The 14285-nt window shown below is 48.4% G+C and overlaps 2 annotated features.

The window, feature by feature from the left end:
- Positions 8594–8763: an enhancer, noted in NCBI's record as "active region_16533". NCBI's record gives its function as "activates an Ori minimal core promoter by ATAC-STARR-seq in GM12878 lymphoblastoid cells {active_cell/tissue: GM12878}" and the evidence as "EXISTENCE:reporter gene assay evidence [ECO:0000049][PMID:35858748]".
- Positions 10737–11006: an enhancer, noted in NCBI's record as "active region_16532". NCBI's record gives its function as "activates an Ori minimal core promoter by ATAC-STARR-seq in GM12878 lymphoblastoid cells {active_cell/tissue: GM12878}" and the evidence as "EXISTENCE:reporter gene assay evidence [ECO:0000049][PMID:35858748]".

Below are 14285 nucleotides of genomic sequence, written 5' to 3'. Positions count from 1 at the left end.
AAGTGCTGGTATTACAAACGTAAGCCACTGCACCCAGCCCAGATTCGATTTTTTTAAAAAAACATGATGCAGACGGTGGGTCATGCCTGTAATCCCAGCACTTTGGGAAATCGTTGCAGGCAGATCACTTGAGGTCATGAGTTCAAGACCGGCCTTGCCAACATGGTGAAACCCCACCTCTGCTAAAAATATAGAAAAAATTAGCCAGGAGTAGTGGTGGGCACCTGTAATCCCAGCTACTCAGGAGGCTGAGGCAGGACAATTGCTTGAACCCAGAAGGCAGAAGTTGCATTGAGCCAAGATTGTGCCACTGCACTCCAGCCTGGGCAACAGAGCAAGACTCCACCTCAAAATAAATAAATAAAAACATGATCCATCTATATGCTGCCTATAAAACATTTAGATACAAAGACATTCAAAGTAAAATGATGGAAAAAGATAATACAAAGGTAAACAATGGAAAAAGAGAGCTGATAGAAAAAGCTGAGTAGGCCGGGCGCGGTGGCTCATTCCTGTAATCCCAGCACTTTGGGAGGCTGAGGCGGCCGGATCACCTGAGGTCAGGAGTTCAAGACCAGCCTGGCCAACATGAAGAAACCCCATCTCTACTAAAAATACAAAACTTAGCAGGGCATGGTGGCACACACTTGTAATCCCAGCTACTCAGGAGGCTGAGGCAGGGGAATTGCTTGAATCCGGGAGGCGGAGGTTGCAGTGAGCTGAGATCATGCCACTGCTCTCCAACCTGGGTGACAGAGCGAGACTCAGTCTCAAAAAAGAAAGAAAAAGCTGCGTGGCCATACTGTAATCAGAAAAAATAGATTTTAAATCAAAAAGGTTACAAGACACAAAGACTCATTTGATAAAAGTTTCAACCCACCAAAAAGATATAAAATATAAACACCTAGCAGCAGAGCCCCAAAATATATGAACCAAAAATTAACAGAATTGAAGGAAAAAAAGACAATGCTATAATAGTTGGAGACTTCAATACCTCATTTAAAATAATGGATAGCACAACTAGAAAGAAAAAGCTGCGTGGCCATACTGTAATCAGAAAAAATAGATTTTAAATCAAAAAGGTTACAAGACACAAAGACTCATTTGATAAAAGTTTCAACCCACCAAAAAGATATAGTTATAAAATATAAACACCTAGCAGCAGAGCCCCAAAATATATGAACCAAAAATTAACAGAATTGAAGGAAAAAAAGACAATGCTATAATAGTTGGAGACTTCAATACCTCATTTAAAATAATGGATAGCACAACTAGAGAGAAGATCAATACAGAAACAGAGGCCTGACAACATTCTAATCGATTAGACAGAACACGCCACTCAACAATAGCAGAATATACATTTTTTCTCATGTGAATTCTACAGAACAAGCCACAAAAAGATAATAAATTTTAAAACATTGAAATCATAAAGTATTTAGTCTGATCACAGTGGAATGAAACTAGAACTCATTCTTAGAAGGAAAACTCACAAATATGTGGAAATTAAACAACATATTCTTAAACAACCAATGGGTCAAAGAAAAAGTCACTACAGAAATTAGAAAACCCCTCAATACTAATGAAAAAGAAAACACAAAGTACCAAAACTTCTGGGATGTAATGAAAGCAGGGCTAAGAGGGAAATGTACAGCTGTAAATGCCTACATTACGAAAGAAGAAGGATTACAAATCAGTAATCTAATTATATACTTTAAGAAATTAAAAAAAAAGAAAACAAACTAAACCCAAGCAGAAGGAAGGAAATAAAAAAGATTAGAGTGGGCCGGGCGCGGTGGCTCACGCACCCAGCACTTTGGGAGGCCGAGGCGGGTGGATCACAAGGTCAGGAGATCGAGACCATCCTGGCTAACATGGTGAAACCCCGTCTCCACTAAAAATACAAAAAATTAGCCAGGCTTGGTGGCGGGCACCTGTAGTCCCAGCTACTCAGGAGGCAGAGGCAGGAGAATGGCGTGAACCCGGGAGGCGGAGCTTGCAGTGAGCTGAGATGGTGCCACTGCATTCCAACCTGGGCAACAGAGCGAGACTCTGTCGCAAAAAAAAAAAAAGATTAGAGTGAAGATTAATGAAATAGTGAATAGAAAAACAATAGAAAAAAATTAATGAAGCCAAAAGTTGGTTATTTGAAAAGATCAACAAAATTGGCAAATCTGTAGCTATATTTACTAAGAAAAAAATAGGATAAATTACTGAAATCATAAACGAAAGAAGAGACATTGTTACTGATTATACAGAAATTGATAGATTATAAGAGAATATAATGAACAACTGCATGCCTACACACTGGATAACCCAGTGAAATAGGCAAATTCCTAGAAATGTACAAATCTACCAAAACCAATGTGAAAAGAGTTAGAAAATGTGAATAGACCTATAAAAAGTAAGGAGGTTGAATCAGTAAGTCAAAAACCTCCCAATAAAGAGAAGCCCAGGAGAAATGGCTTTACTTTTAAATTATACCAAACATTTATGTGAGAATCAACACCAGTCCTTCTCACAATCTTTCAAAACAATGAAAAGGAGGGAACATTTCCAAACTCATCTTATGAAGCCAGCATTATCTTAATACCACAGTCAGACAGAGACACTATACTGTCTGACTGTGGAGACATGAATGAAATGAAAACTACAGACCAATGTCTTTTAGGAACTTTGATGCAAAAATCCTCAACAAAATGCTAGCAAATTCAGCAGCATAATAAAAGGATTAAACACCATGACAAAATGGAATTTATCCCTGGAATGAAAAGGCGGCCCAGTATGTGAAAATCAAGCAATCACTCCCATATTAACAGGATAAAGCAGAGGACCATGAACAGAATGCAGAAAAAAAGCATTTGAAAAAAAATCCAACTCCCTTTCGTGATAAAAAAAAAACATTAAATTAGGAACAGAAAGGAATGTCCGCAACATAAAGTCCACATACAAAAAACAGTTAACATCATACTTAATGGTGAAAGACCAAAAAATTTCCCTGTACAATCAGGATGAGGACAATGAAACCCACTTTCGCCACTTCTATTCAACATAGTCCTGAAAGTTACGGCTAGAGCAATTAGGGGAAAAAGGGAAATAAAAGATAACCAATTTGTCAGGGAAGAAGTAAAAGTATCTCTCTTCACAGATGACATATGTAGAAAACCCTAGAATTACTTTCACATGAGCGCGCACACACACACAGGGCTAAGTAAACTAAATCAGCAAAACCAACACCCATAAATGAGTTGTATTTCTACACACTAGCAATAAGCAATCTGAAAAGGAAATTTAAAAAACAATTTCATTTACAGTAACACCACAAAAGTTAAAATAGGAATAAATTAAACCAAGGAGGCAGAAGACTGGTACTCTGAAAAGTACAAAAGAGTGCTGAAAGAAATGAGAGAAGACTTGAATGAATGGAAAGATATTCTGTGTTCACGGATGGGAAAACTCGATATAGTTAAGATGACAATACTACCCAAAGTGATCTAAAAATTCTGTGTAATCTCTATCCAAATCTTAATGGCATTTCTTTGCAGCTTAGAAAAATCCATTCTAGGCCGGGCGTGGTGGCTCACGCCTGTAATCCCAGCATTTTGGGAGGCTGAGGTGGGTGGATCACAAGGTCAGGAGATCGAGACCATCCTGGCTAATACAGTGAAACCCTGTCTCTACTAAAAATACAAAAAATTAGCCAGGCATGGTGGCGGGTGCCTGTAGTCCCAGCTACTCAGGAGGCTGAGGCAGGAGAATGGCGTGAACCCAGGGGGCAGAACTTGCAGTAAGCCGAGATCCTGCCACTGCACTCCAGCCTGGGCGACAGAGCAAGACTCCTCCGTCTCAAAAAAAAAAAAAGAAAAGAAAAATCCATTCTGAAATTTATTTGGAATTTCAAAGGACCCTGATTTAGCTAAAACAATCTTGGAAAACTTGGAGGATCCACATTTCTTGATTTCAAAACTTACTACAAAACTACAGTAATCAAAAGTGTGGTACTGGCATAAGGACAGAAATATAGACCAATGAAATAGAATACAAAGCCCAGCAATAAACCCTCACATTGATTTTCAATTGATTTTCTACTATACTGTCAAGACCATTCAATGGGAACAGTCTTACTAACAAATGGTACTGAGAAAACTAGATATCCATATGCAAAAAAATGAAATTGGACCCTTACCTTACCTCACATACAAATATCAACTCAAAATGTATCAAAGACCTAAACGTAAAAGCTAAAACTACAAAATTCTTAGGAAAAAATAGGAAAGAATCCCCATGACTTGAATTTGGCAATAATTGCTTAAACATGACCACAAAAGCATGGCAGCAAAAGAAAAAATAGATAAATCAGATTCCATCAAAATTAAAACATTATGCATAAAAGGAAACTACAGTATCAACAGAGTAAAAAGATAATTCACAGAATGGCAGAAAGTTTCAAATCATGTATCTGATAAGTGATTAATATCTGGAATATACAAAAATTCCTACAGCTGAACAAAAAAATTCAACCAAATTAACACTGGGCAAGGGATTTGCATAGACGTTTCTCCAAAGAAGATATACAAATAGACAACAAGCACATGAAAAGATGCCCAACCTCATCAGTCACTAGGGAAATACAAACCTAAATCACACTGAGTTACCACTTCATATTCACTGGGATGGCTATTACAAAAATTAAAATAATGGGAAAAGGAAAATAACAAGATAACAGTGTTGGCGAGGACATGGAGAAATTGGAACCTGCATGCAACGTTGATAGAAGTTTAAAATGGTGCAGCCACTGTGGAAAATAGTTTGGCCATTCCTTAAAAAGCTGAACATAGAATTACTCTGTGACCCAGAAATCTCACCTCTAGGTATGTACTCAAAAGAACTAAGTTGGATGTGGTGACACATACCTGTAATCTCAGCTACTCAGGAGGCTGAGACAGGAGGATGGCTTGAGCCCAGGAGTTTGAGACCAGCCTGGGCAATATAATGAGACCCTATCTCTAAAAAAAAAAAGAAAAAAAAAAAAAGAAAAAAGACCAGGCGCAGTGACTCAGGCCTGTAATCCCAGCACTTTGGGAGGCCCAGGCGGGCGGATCACCTGAGGTAGGGGGTTCAAGACCAGCCTGACCAACATGGAGAAACCCTGTCTCTACTAAAAATACAAAATAGCCGGGCGTGGTGGTGCATGCCTGTAATCCCAGCTACTAGGGAGGCTGAGGCAGGAGAATCGCTTGAACCTGGGAGGTGGAGGTTGTAGTGAGCAGAGATCGTGCCATTGCACTCCGGCCTGGGCAACAAGAGTGAAACTCCGTCTCAAAAAAAAAAAAAAAGAAAAAGAAAAAACTGAAGAAGATACTTGTACACCAATGTTCATAGCAGCATTATTCACGATAGCTAAGAGATAGAAACAACCCAAATGTCTATCAACAGATGAATGGGTAAACGAAATGTGGTATAGCCATAAAAAGGAAGAAATTCTGACACATTGCTACGGATGAATCTTGAAGGCATTAGGTTAAGTGAAATAAGCCAATCACAAAAGGACAAATATTGCATGATTCCATTTATATGAGGTATCTAGAATAGGCAAATTCATAGAAACAGAAAGTAGAATAGAGGCTACCTAGGGATGGGGAGAGCATAGAATAGGGTTTAGTGCTTAATGAATACAGAGCTACTGTTTGAGGTTATGAAAAAGTTCCAGGAATAGTGGTGATAGGTGCACCACATTTGAATGTACTTAATGCCACTGAATTCTACACTTTAAAATAAATTGAAATTTACACTTAAATTTAGGTCTTTGATCCATTTTGAGTTAATCCTATTCTCAGCAACTGACGCAGAAAATCAGCAAGGAGAGGACATCAGAGCAACACAATCAACCAACAGAACCACTGCATGCAACAATAGCAAGCTACAAGTTATTTTCAAACATCTATGAAACATCCACCAAGGCCGACATTGTCCTGTGCCGTAAAACAAGTCTCAACAAAATTTAAAGTACAGAGTACTGCAGAGTACATTCCCTGACCACAATGGAGTAAAACCATAAATCCATGACAGAAAACAGAAAAACTAATCATGTAAAAAGTAAGCAACATACTTCTAAATAATCCATAGGTGGAAAGGGAAATCTCAAAGGAAATTAAAAATACATGGAGCTGAGTGAAAATTAAAATAGAACATATCAAAATATGTGGGATATACCAAAAGCAGTGTTGAGATTTTTATGTCACTGAATGCTTACATTAATTAAAGAGGAAAGGTGTCCAGTCAACAATCAAAGTCCCTACTCAAGAAACTAGGAAAAGGAAAACAAAATAAACATGGGAGGGAAATAATGAAGAGGAGAAATTTTCATCTTACTGATTTCTCCTCTTCATTATTTCCCATTTTCTCCTCTTCATTATTTCCCTCCCATGCTTGCTTTGTGTTTGTTTCTACTGTTCTAGTAAAGAAAAGTTAAAAAAGAAAAAAGCAATTAACAAATCTTTATTAAAAGCTGACAAAAGAGAAAAGACACAAATTACCCATGTCAGGAATGAAGCCGAGCCATGACTGCTGCTCCCGCCGCCACTGAACAGCTAATAAGGGAATATCTGGAACAACTTTACACTCACAAATTCGACAACTTAAAAGGGATGGACCAATTCCTCTAAAACCACAAATGACCAAACTCAAACCATGATAAAATAATCAATCTGAATGGTCCTAGAACCATTAAAGAAATTGAACACTTTTTTGGAGCAGGGGGAAGGGTCTCACCCTGTCACCCAGGCTGGAGTTCAGTGGTGCGATCTGAGCTCACTGCAGGCTGCGCCTCCTGGGTTCAAGCAATCCTCCCACCTCAGCCTCCATCTGTAGTAGTTGGGACCGCAGGCATGCGCCGCCACACCTGGCTAATTTTTTGTATTTGTTGTAGAGATGGGGTTTTGCCATGTTCCCAGGCTGGTCTCCAATTCTTGAGCTCAAGCAATCAGTCCACCTTGGCCTGCCAATAAATTGACTCTTACCTAATGCATTAGTTCCCTGTTACTGCTGTGGCAAATTATCACAAATGTAGTGCCTTAAAACAACACATTTATTTACTATTTACAGCTGTGGAGGTGAGCGATCACAGTGTGAGCAGTGCCGCATCCTTCTTGGAGCTTCCCCGGGGAGCATTCAGCTCCTTATGCTAATATGCATAGCACCACTCACCTGATTGTTTTTCACTCAGCCGTTATGATCTTCATGGTCTTCATTTACTTCCATTAGTTCTGAAATGATTCTTTGTGCCATGATTTACTTTATTCCCATTATTGGACATTTAAGATGTTAACAATTTTCAGCTAGGTATGCATGATGAGCAACTTTGTGTAGGAGACATTTTTCCCTTTTGGGGTTATCTTTTTTGAGATGGATACCCATAAGGACATGGTCAGAGTATGCACATTTTTAAGGATTTCAATACATACTGTCAAGCTGCCCTCCCGATAGATGGCAGTGTGGGAGGTGTCCACCACACTACACCCTCAAAACTGGCCCAGATCTCTGCATTCACAATCCCTGAGCAGAGCAAGGCTGGACTGACGGAAAGCTGTGAAGGCACATTCAATGGGGAGTTCCTGGGCCAGGAGATCCAGGAGGGGCACTGAACTGGCACAGTCACCAAGGAGCCCATGGGGTGGCCAAGAGCAGGCACATCATGTGGCCAGGAAGAGGGCAGGGCTTAACCACAAGCAATAGGTGGGCAGGGGGTTGATAAAGGAGGTGGAAAGAATGGAGCACAGGTGGAGGTGTGGGCGGCTGGGCCACGTGGTGGTGGGAGCTCCTGAGCACGATGGAGCAGAGTCCCTAAGTGTGGATCCTACTAGGGGATGGGACAGCCCCTAGATGACAGGCCACAGCCAAGGGCCTGGCTATAGGAGGCCCGACTGCCCGCGGTGCCTCATGTGGCTGTGGCGTTGTTTAGGGAGCAAAAATGCCTGGCAGAGGTCCAGCGGGGATGGGGTCAGTCCAGGTGCACTCTGCTTCCAGCCCATCACCCGGCACAAGGAGATTCACTAGAGGAAGGGGCTCCATTTTCTGACTCATGCACAGCTACCAGACAAGCTCCTAGAGCCTGGCCATGCCCAGCCCAGGACCAGGTGTGGAGCAGTTAGTTGCTCAGGGCATGTTTGATGAGGGACTAAGGGAATGAATGAATGCAGAATGCCCTAAGACCCTGCACAAAGAGGCCCTCACTTTACTTTTGGTCACAGCCTCCACACAACACAAGGACCGCTAAGGCAGGTCTCCCTTCCATGGCTAAAGTGAATGAATGTCCCCACCCCCAACCTCCCCAGGGGTGCTGTGCCCATCCAGCAGGCCCGGGCCTGGCCAGCAGAGGGCTGGCCTCATGTCCACCGGCTGCATGAGGTGAGGAGGGCAGGCTCTGGAGTTACACCGGCCTCAGAAAACCCCGCTCCTGCCGTCCCTGCTGTGTGGCCTGGGGCTGCTGAGAGAGAACGGCCGGTGCACATGGCAGAACAAGGCCAGCCTGGTGCCCACACCCACTCCTAGCTCAGCTCATCCTCACATTCTGCTGAAACCCATGGCCCAGGCCCACTGAAGGAAACCCTCCAGGACAGGGCTTGGAGCATGGTGCGGCCACAGCACCCCAGGGGGTTTGATCAGTAATTTGGAGGAAACAGAAACTGAAAGTGTAGCTCTTCTGTCTGCAGCCGGTCCACCCCCACCTCCCCGCAGCCTTCCACCCTTCTGCCCCCACCTCACAGGGTGCCCCAGGTGTCCCCTCATGCTCAGGCATGGTGCCACCGCCTAAGGGCCAGTCTCCACCTCCAGCCTCCTAGGGGCTGAGGGCCTGAGGACCAGCACAAACTCCTTGGCCTTTCCTGTTTCATGGTAGCAGGGCTTCTGCTGCCTTCAAGGTGTGTCCCAGGAAAACCAGCCAAGACTTCAGCCCTGAAGTCAATGCTGCCCCCTCGAAGATAGCCTGAGTGTTTGCCACAAGTGACATGCTTAGGGTCTTAATCAGGCATTACTTTCCAATCCGCGAATGTGGGACAGAATGTTATTAATCAACTCCACAACTGCTGAGCGTAGCGTCCAAGCTGGCACCAAGGTCCGTTGGGACCTGCCTCTGGGAGAGGGTGGCTGAGAGCCCCTGCTGTACTGGCATCTCCCGCTCTGAGTCCTCATCTGTAAACGTGGTCCTCAGAGCAGCCCTGAGAGCTCTGCGCCCAACAGTCTTCTAAGTGGTCCCGTGTGTGTTCGTTCCTCACTCCAGCAACTCTCTAAGGCTGACGCTGTCATTGTCCCATTTACAGACGTGATTGCTGAGGTTCAGGGAGGATTTTGGGGGAGGTGGAGGCAGCTCGGCCTTTCTCTCTCTGGAGCTCTCCTCTGGAGACCCCACCCAGCAGGCGCTGCCTCCCAAGGCTGGTGGCACGGCTTCTCTTACAGACCCGGTGTTGTGCCACGTGGCACACAAGACCCAGGACAGCCAGGCCTGGACCACTCATGTAGCTGACTCAGGGCCAGGTGTGAATTGGGAGTGGAGATGATAATCACCTCTCTGGACATTAGATGCAGGGTGCAGGAGTGACGGTGTGGGGGCAAAGAGCGCGCGCACGCGCACACGCACGCACACATGAACAAGCACGCACATGCACGCACGCACACATGAACACGCACGCGCGTGCCTCAAGGCCAGCTGCGCAGTGTCCACGTGGAGCCTCCTGAGGGCAGGACCGTGCCCCCTGGCTCCCTCGTGCTGCCGGGCCGGCCGCAGGGCCGCAGCGGACACCGATGAGGGAAGGACAGCCCCGCAGAGAGCGGAAGTAGCGGGCGCGGACCTCGAGGGGCTGGACCCTCAGCCTCCACCGCGCCTATGCTCAGGGCCGGAGCTGCGCGAGGCCCCCTGGGAGAGGCCCAGCCCCTGTCAGGAGGGGTCTGGGGAGGGAGGCTCCAGAAGGTGCAGGGAACTGGACTCACGGCCTCCCCCATCCCCAACTCCAGTTCACTCGGCTTTCCACTGAAACGTGGCAGGGACACCGATGCCCTCCACGTGCCCAACCCGCCTTGCCCCCGCGCCCTCTGTTGCTACTGTGCCCAGGCCTCTGAACTGACCTCCGGACATTCCCACTCGGATGTTCAGCAGAAATCTCGCCCTTCACAACCACACTCCTAAGTCTCTGCCCCACAGCATCACCTACGAGCACCCCCGCACAAGGCCCAGGAGCTCTGCCAGAAATCACTTCCCCCCACCCGATAGCCGCCCTGCAGCCAGCCATCTCAAGGGCTCCCGCGGTGTGGCCACACAGCTGCCATCCCCAAATCGCTTTCCAAAGTTCTCTGCCCTCGCAGCCCACGGCCCATAGCCACTCCCGCCTGAGCCCGCCTGCGGGCCTCGCACAGCAGCTCCTCGCCTGGAATCCAGCGCACGCCCTTCCGCGACCCGGGCAGTCCTCCCGATGCTCTGCCCAGCCCCGCTGGGAGGATAGCGGCTGGGTTGGTGTGGCTGCAGGCAGAGACCTTGCCTGCCCTACTCAGCCTCCTCCACCGGCGCCCGGGAGGGTGTCCAGTGCGTCCGGGGGTGTGGGCTGGCCTTGAACTCAGGGGAGCTGGAGTGGGCAAGCTGGGAGGGGACTGTGGGCAAAGCCTGCTGGGCTGTGTTCAGTAGGAGGCTTTTGGTCCACCAAGCCTGTGGTGGCGGTTAGGGACGTGTAGTTACAGGGCCGGGCAGGGCCTGGACCAATAGCCCAAAGTCGGCCTCAGCATTGGCACAGCAGGACAGGCCTTCGGAGGCCCCACCGTGACGACGGGACTGGGTGGAGGGTCAGAGGCCGTGGCCAGGAGTCACAATGGGGACAGAGCAGGGTGGTTGGAGAAGCCTCCTAGGGCAGAATAAGACAGTGAGGACTCGGCAGTAGTAGAGGAGGAGTTGGGCGTGCCCCGCAAATCTCACAACATCCCACTAGGTGCTGTGGGGCTGTCCCTGTCCCCACCACACAGGACGCTGACATATCTGCCACCTTCGGGCCCAGATGACTCACCCTGAGCAGTCAGAAAAGCACAGGGAAGCATTCATCCTGTGAGAAGCTCAGAAGCCCTTTACCCTCTCAGGACCTCTCCTGAGATGTAGCAGGGGCCAGGCTGGCGAGGGAGGTGTGGCAGCCGGAACATTCCTGAGGCTGCCCTGACACCTGGTGGCAGCCCTCAGAACTAGCAGCTGCACAGAGGAAGTGCCGTTGAGCAGGAGTGAGCGCAGGAAGGGGGAGAGAGAAAGGGGGAGTGGGAGAGAGGGAGTCCATTCTAGACCAGTGGTCCTCAAATTTGAACCTGTAATGGCATCACCCTGAGGGCTGTCACTGACTTGGGAGATCCAGAACTGCTGGAAAATCAGCATTTCTAAGAGGCTCCCAGAGGCTGCTGTGCTGCTGGTCTGGGACCAAGCCATGGGTCTGGGAAAGGAATGGAGGGATGTCTCTGCTCCTACTGGGTGCCTACTGGGTGGTACTGTTATTACTATACCTTCCTTATAAAGGAGGCCACTGAGGCTAGAGAGGCCACGTTCCCACGCTATCCACATCCATGCCCACAGAAGTGATAAAGATTTGAATTCAGTGCAGCCCCAGAGTCCTCCCTAGGGGTCCCTGCTGCACATCTGTTGAGCAGGTCATAGCCTGGGTGTGTCTGCACCAGGTAGGCAAGACGGCTCCTGAGAATGGGCCCTGCCTAGCACGCCTGCCAGGGGACTGAACCAGGAACACACAAGCTGCTCACCTGGCCTCTGACAGGTTAGTGAAAGAACTGGGCAGGGCCTGCCTGGGGTGCTACCTAGGAGCACCTAGCTCACTGCCCTTTGGAGGTGACCCTGTTTGAGAAATGTCATTCTGATGACATAGCAGTGGAGGGTCTGATGGAGCTGCCAGCTCTCCTGGGGCCCAGGAGGAGGTGCCTCTCACCTGATTCCCACTTCCCAGGCAGGGGCACGCCCAGAGAGCCATGCAAAGCCAGTGCTGGGCCCCTTCCTGCCTCCCACTGGCCAGTGACTGTCCCTGGACTCAGCAGCACCACAGGAGGGGAGGAGGCCGTACTGTCCAGTGTCGCTCCTCAGCATCGTGCTGAGCTGGAGGGAAGGCCAGGAGGCCTCCTAGAGGAGGGGACGCCTGTCCAGCAGCTCAGTGGACATCAGTGAGTTGAGCAGGGAGGGAGAGGAGAGAGGAAGGCAGAGGCCTCAGAAAGGGCAGGCCTTGGAGGCCAAGACCAGGGGAGTCAAGGCTGCACAGAATCACCTGAGGGCAGGTGGAAATGCAGACTCGGGCCACCCGAGACCCCCTCAGGACGTTGTGGCTTTAAGTCCCAGGAATATGCATTTCTTTTTTTTTTTTTTTTTTTTTTTTTTTAGATGGAGTCTTGCTCTATCGCCCAGGCTGTAGTGTCGCAATCTCAGCTCACTGCAAACTCCGCCTCCCAGGTTCACGCCATTCTCCTGCCTCAGCCTCGTTGAGTAGCTGGGACTACAGGCGCCCACCACCGTGCCCGGCTAATTTTTTGTAGTTTTAGTAGAGACGGGGTTTCACTGTGTTAGCCAGGATGGTCTCTGTCTCCTGACCTTGTGATCCGCCCACCTCGGCCTTCTAAAATGCTGGGATTACAGCTGTGAGCCACTGCGCCCGACCAGGAATATGCATTTCTAACCTGCTCCTGTCCACTGGAGTTTGGACCTCAGGATTCCCAAGACCTTGGCAAGGTGGCCAACTTGTGCCCCCAATACCAGGTAAAATGAGAGCAAGGTGGCAGAGTAGCCTCTGCCCCAGCCCAGCCCACACTGCCTCCTCCCTGCCTGCTGGGGTCCCACAGGTCCCAGAGCCAGCCACCAAGCCAGGCAGGACCTCAGGCCTACCCAGGTGCCTCAGGGTACACCACATCTGTCCCTCATCTGTAAGCCTGCATCATAAGAAACATTTATTGTCAGTAGTTACAAAGGTTCCCAGCACCACTCTCCATGCCTCCCATCTGTGCTGACTCAGTGAATGCACATCACAGTCCTTCAGGGTGCTCCTACTGTACCTGTCGTAAACAAAAGGGGAAACGCAGCGGCGAGCCGCCCCCCAGAGCATGCAGCTGGTAAATGCCCGGTGATGGCTCAGGCCAGGCATCACTGCCACCATGCCTCATTACCCCCACCTCCACCAGCTTAGGTTAGTGGTTGAAGGGAGAAAGTTCTGCAAGAAGAGTAAAAGTGGGGGATTATGCAAAGACTAATAAAAGGTCCGGGGAACACAGAAATGCCAAGACTCCATGTTTACATTCCCTGGAGGGGCAGAGGAAGCCCTTCCCACCTGCAAAGCTCAGGCGTGGCAGGGCCTTCCTTGGCCATGAGAACAAGAAGTGAGTGGTCTCACCTTTGAGGGCAATGGAGACACGAACTGTCACCCAGTTTTACAAATAACAGAAGAGAAGCTCAGGAAAAGAGGAACAGAGGGTCAAATCTGCAGAGGACTCAGTGTGCCCAGCACCGTGCTCGGCCTTCCTGCACACTCAGGTCACTTAGTCCTCTACCAGCCCTGTGGGCTTGGTATCACCCCCTTCCCTCCAGCCATTCACAGACATGAAAAGGCTCAGAAGGGCAAGCCCCGACCCTGGGACCCCACGTGGTGTGGTGTTATCTGGACCCCTTGCTCTGGTGAGGCCTGGGCAGTGGGAGCACTGTCCCCCTCCCCAAGTATGGTCTCGCTGACTGCTGTGCCCCCTCACCTGGCACAGCACCCAGCGGCAGCTCATCCTGGTCAGCTTTACTGTACGGCAAACAATGCTCCCCCTGCCTTCCGTGACATGGAGCCCCTGAGGGGCAGCTGTGAAGGCTCTGCCCCATGAGTCTTATCTGGGACCACAGAGGAGGGACAGCTCCTGCAGTGGTGAAAAGGATGAGAAGGCTGGAGAAGCCCCCTCTGCTTCCTACAGCACCTGCTCAAACATGACACACTCACACCCCCTTCCCCCAGGCATGGCACACCACCCGCTAGGCTTGGACTCTGTTCCTCCGGTGGGCAAGATGGCATGGGCAGGCTCTCAGCACCAGGCAGGAACTTATAGGCCGCTCACAGGGAAGGGGGAGCAGGACAACCAGGGGCAATAACGCAGTCATCCTCAGCATGACTGTAATGTAATAAAGGACAAATGGATGGAGGAACTATATTCCTTGCTGGAAAGGGTGAATATCTTCTCTAGGCCCATCCACAACAGTTGGTAAGTGGGGAAAGAAACGATTTAACAGCAACGAAAATATCAGT

The sequence above is a fragment of the Homo sapiens genome, chromosome 2 (assembly GCF_000001405.40).
Source record: "Homo sapiens chromosome 2, GRCh38.p14 Primary Assembly".
Taxonomy (NCBI): domain Eukaryota; kingdom Metazoa; phylum Chordata; class Mammalia; order Primates; family Hominidae; genus Homo; species Homo sapiens.
This window is presented reverse-complemented; position numbering and strand designations above follow the sequence as displayed.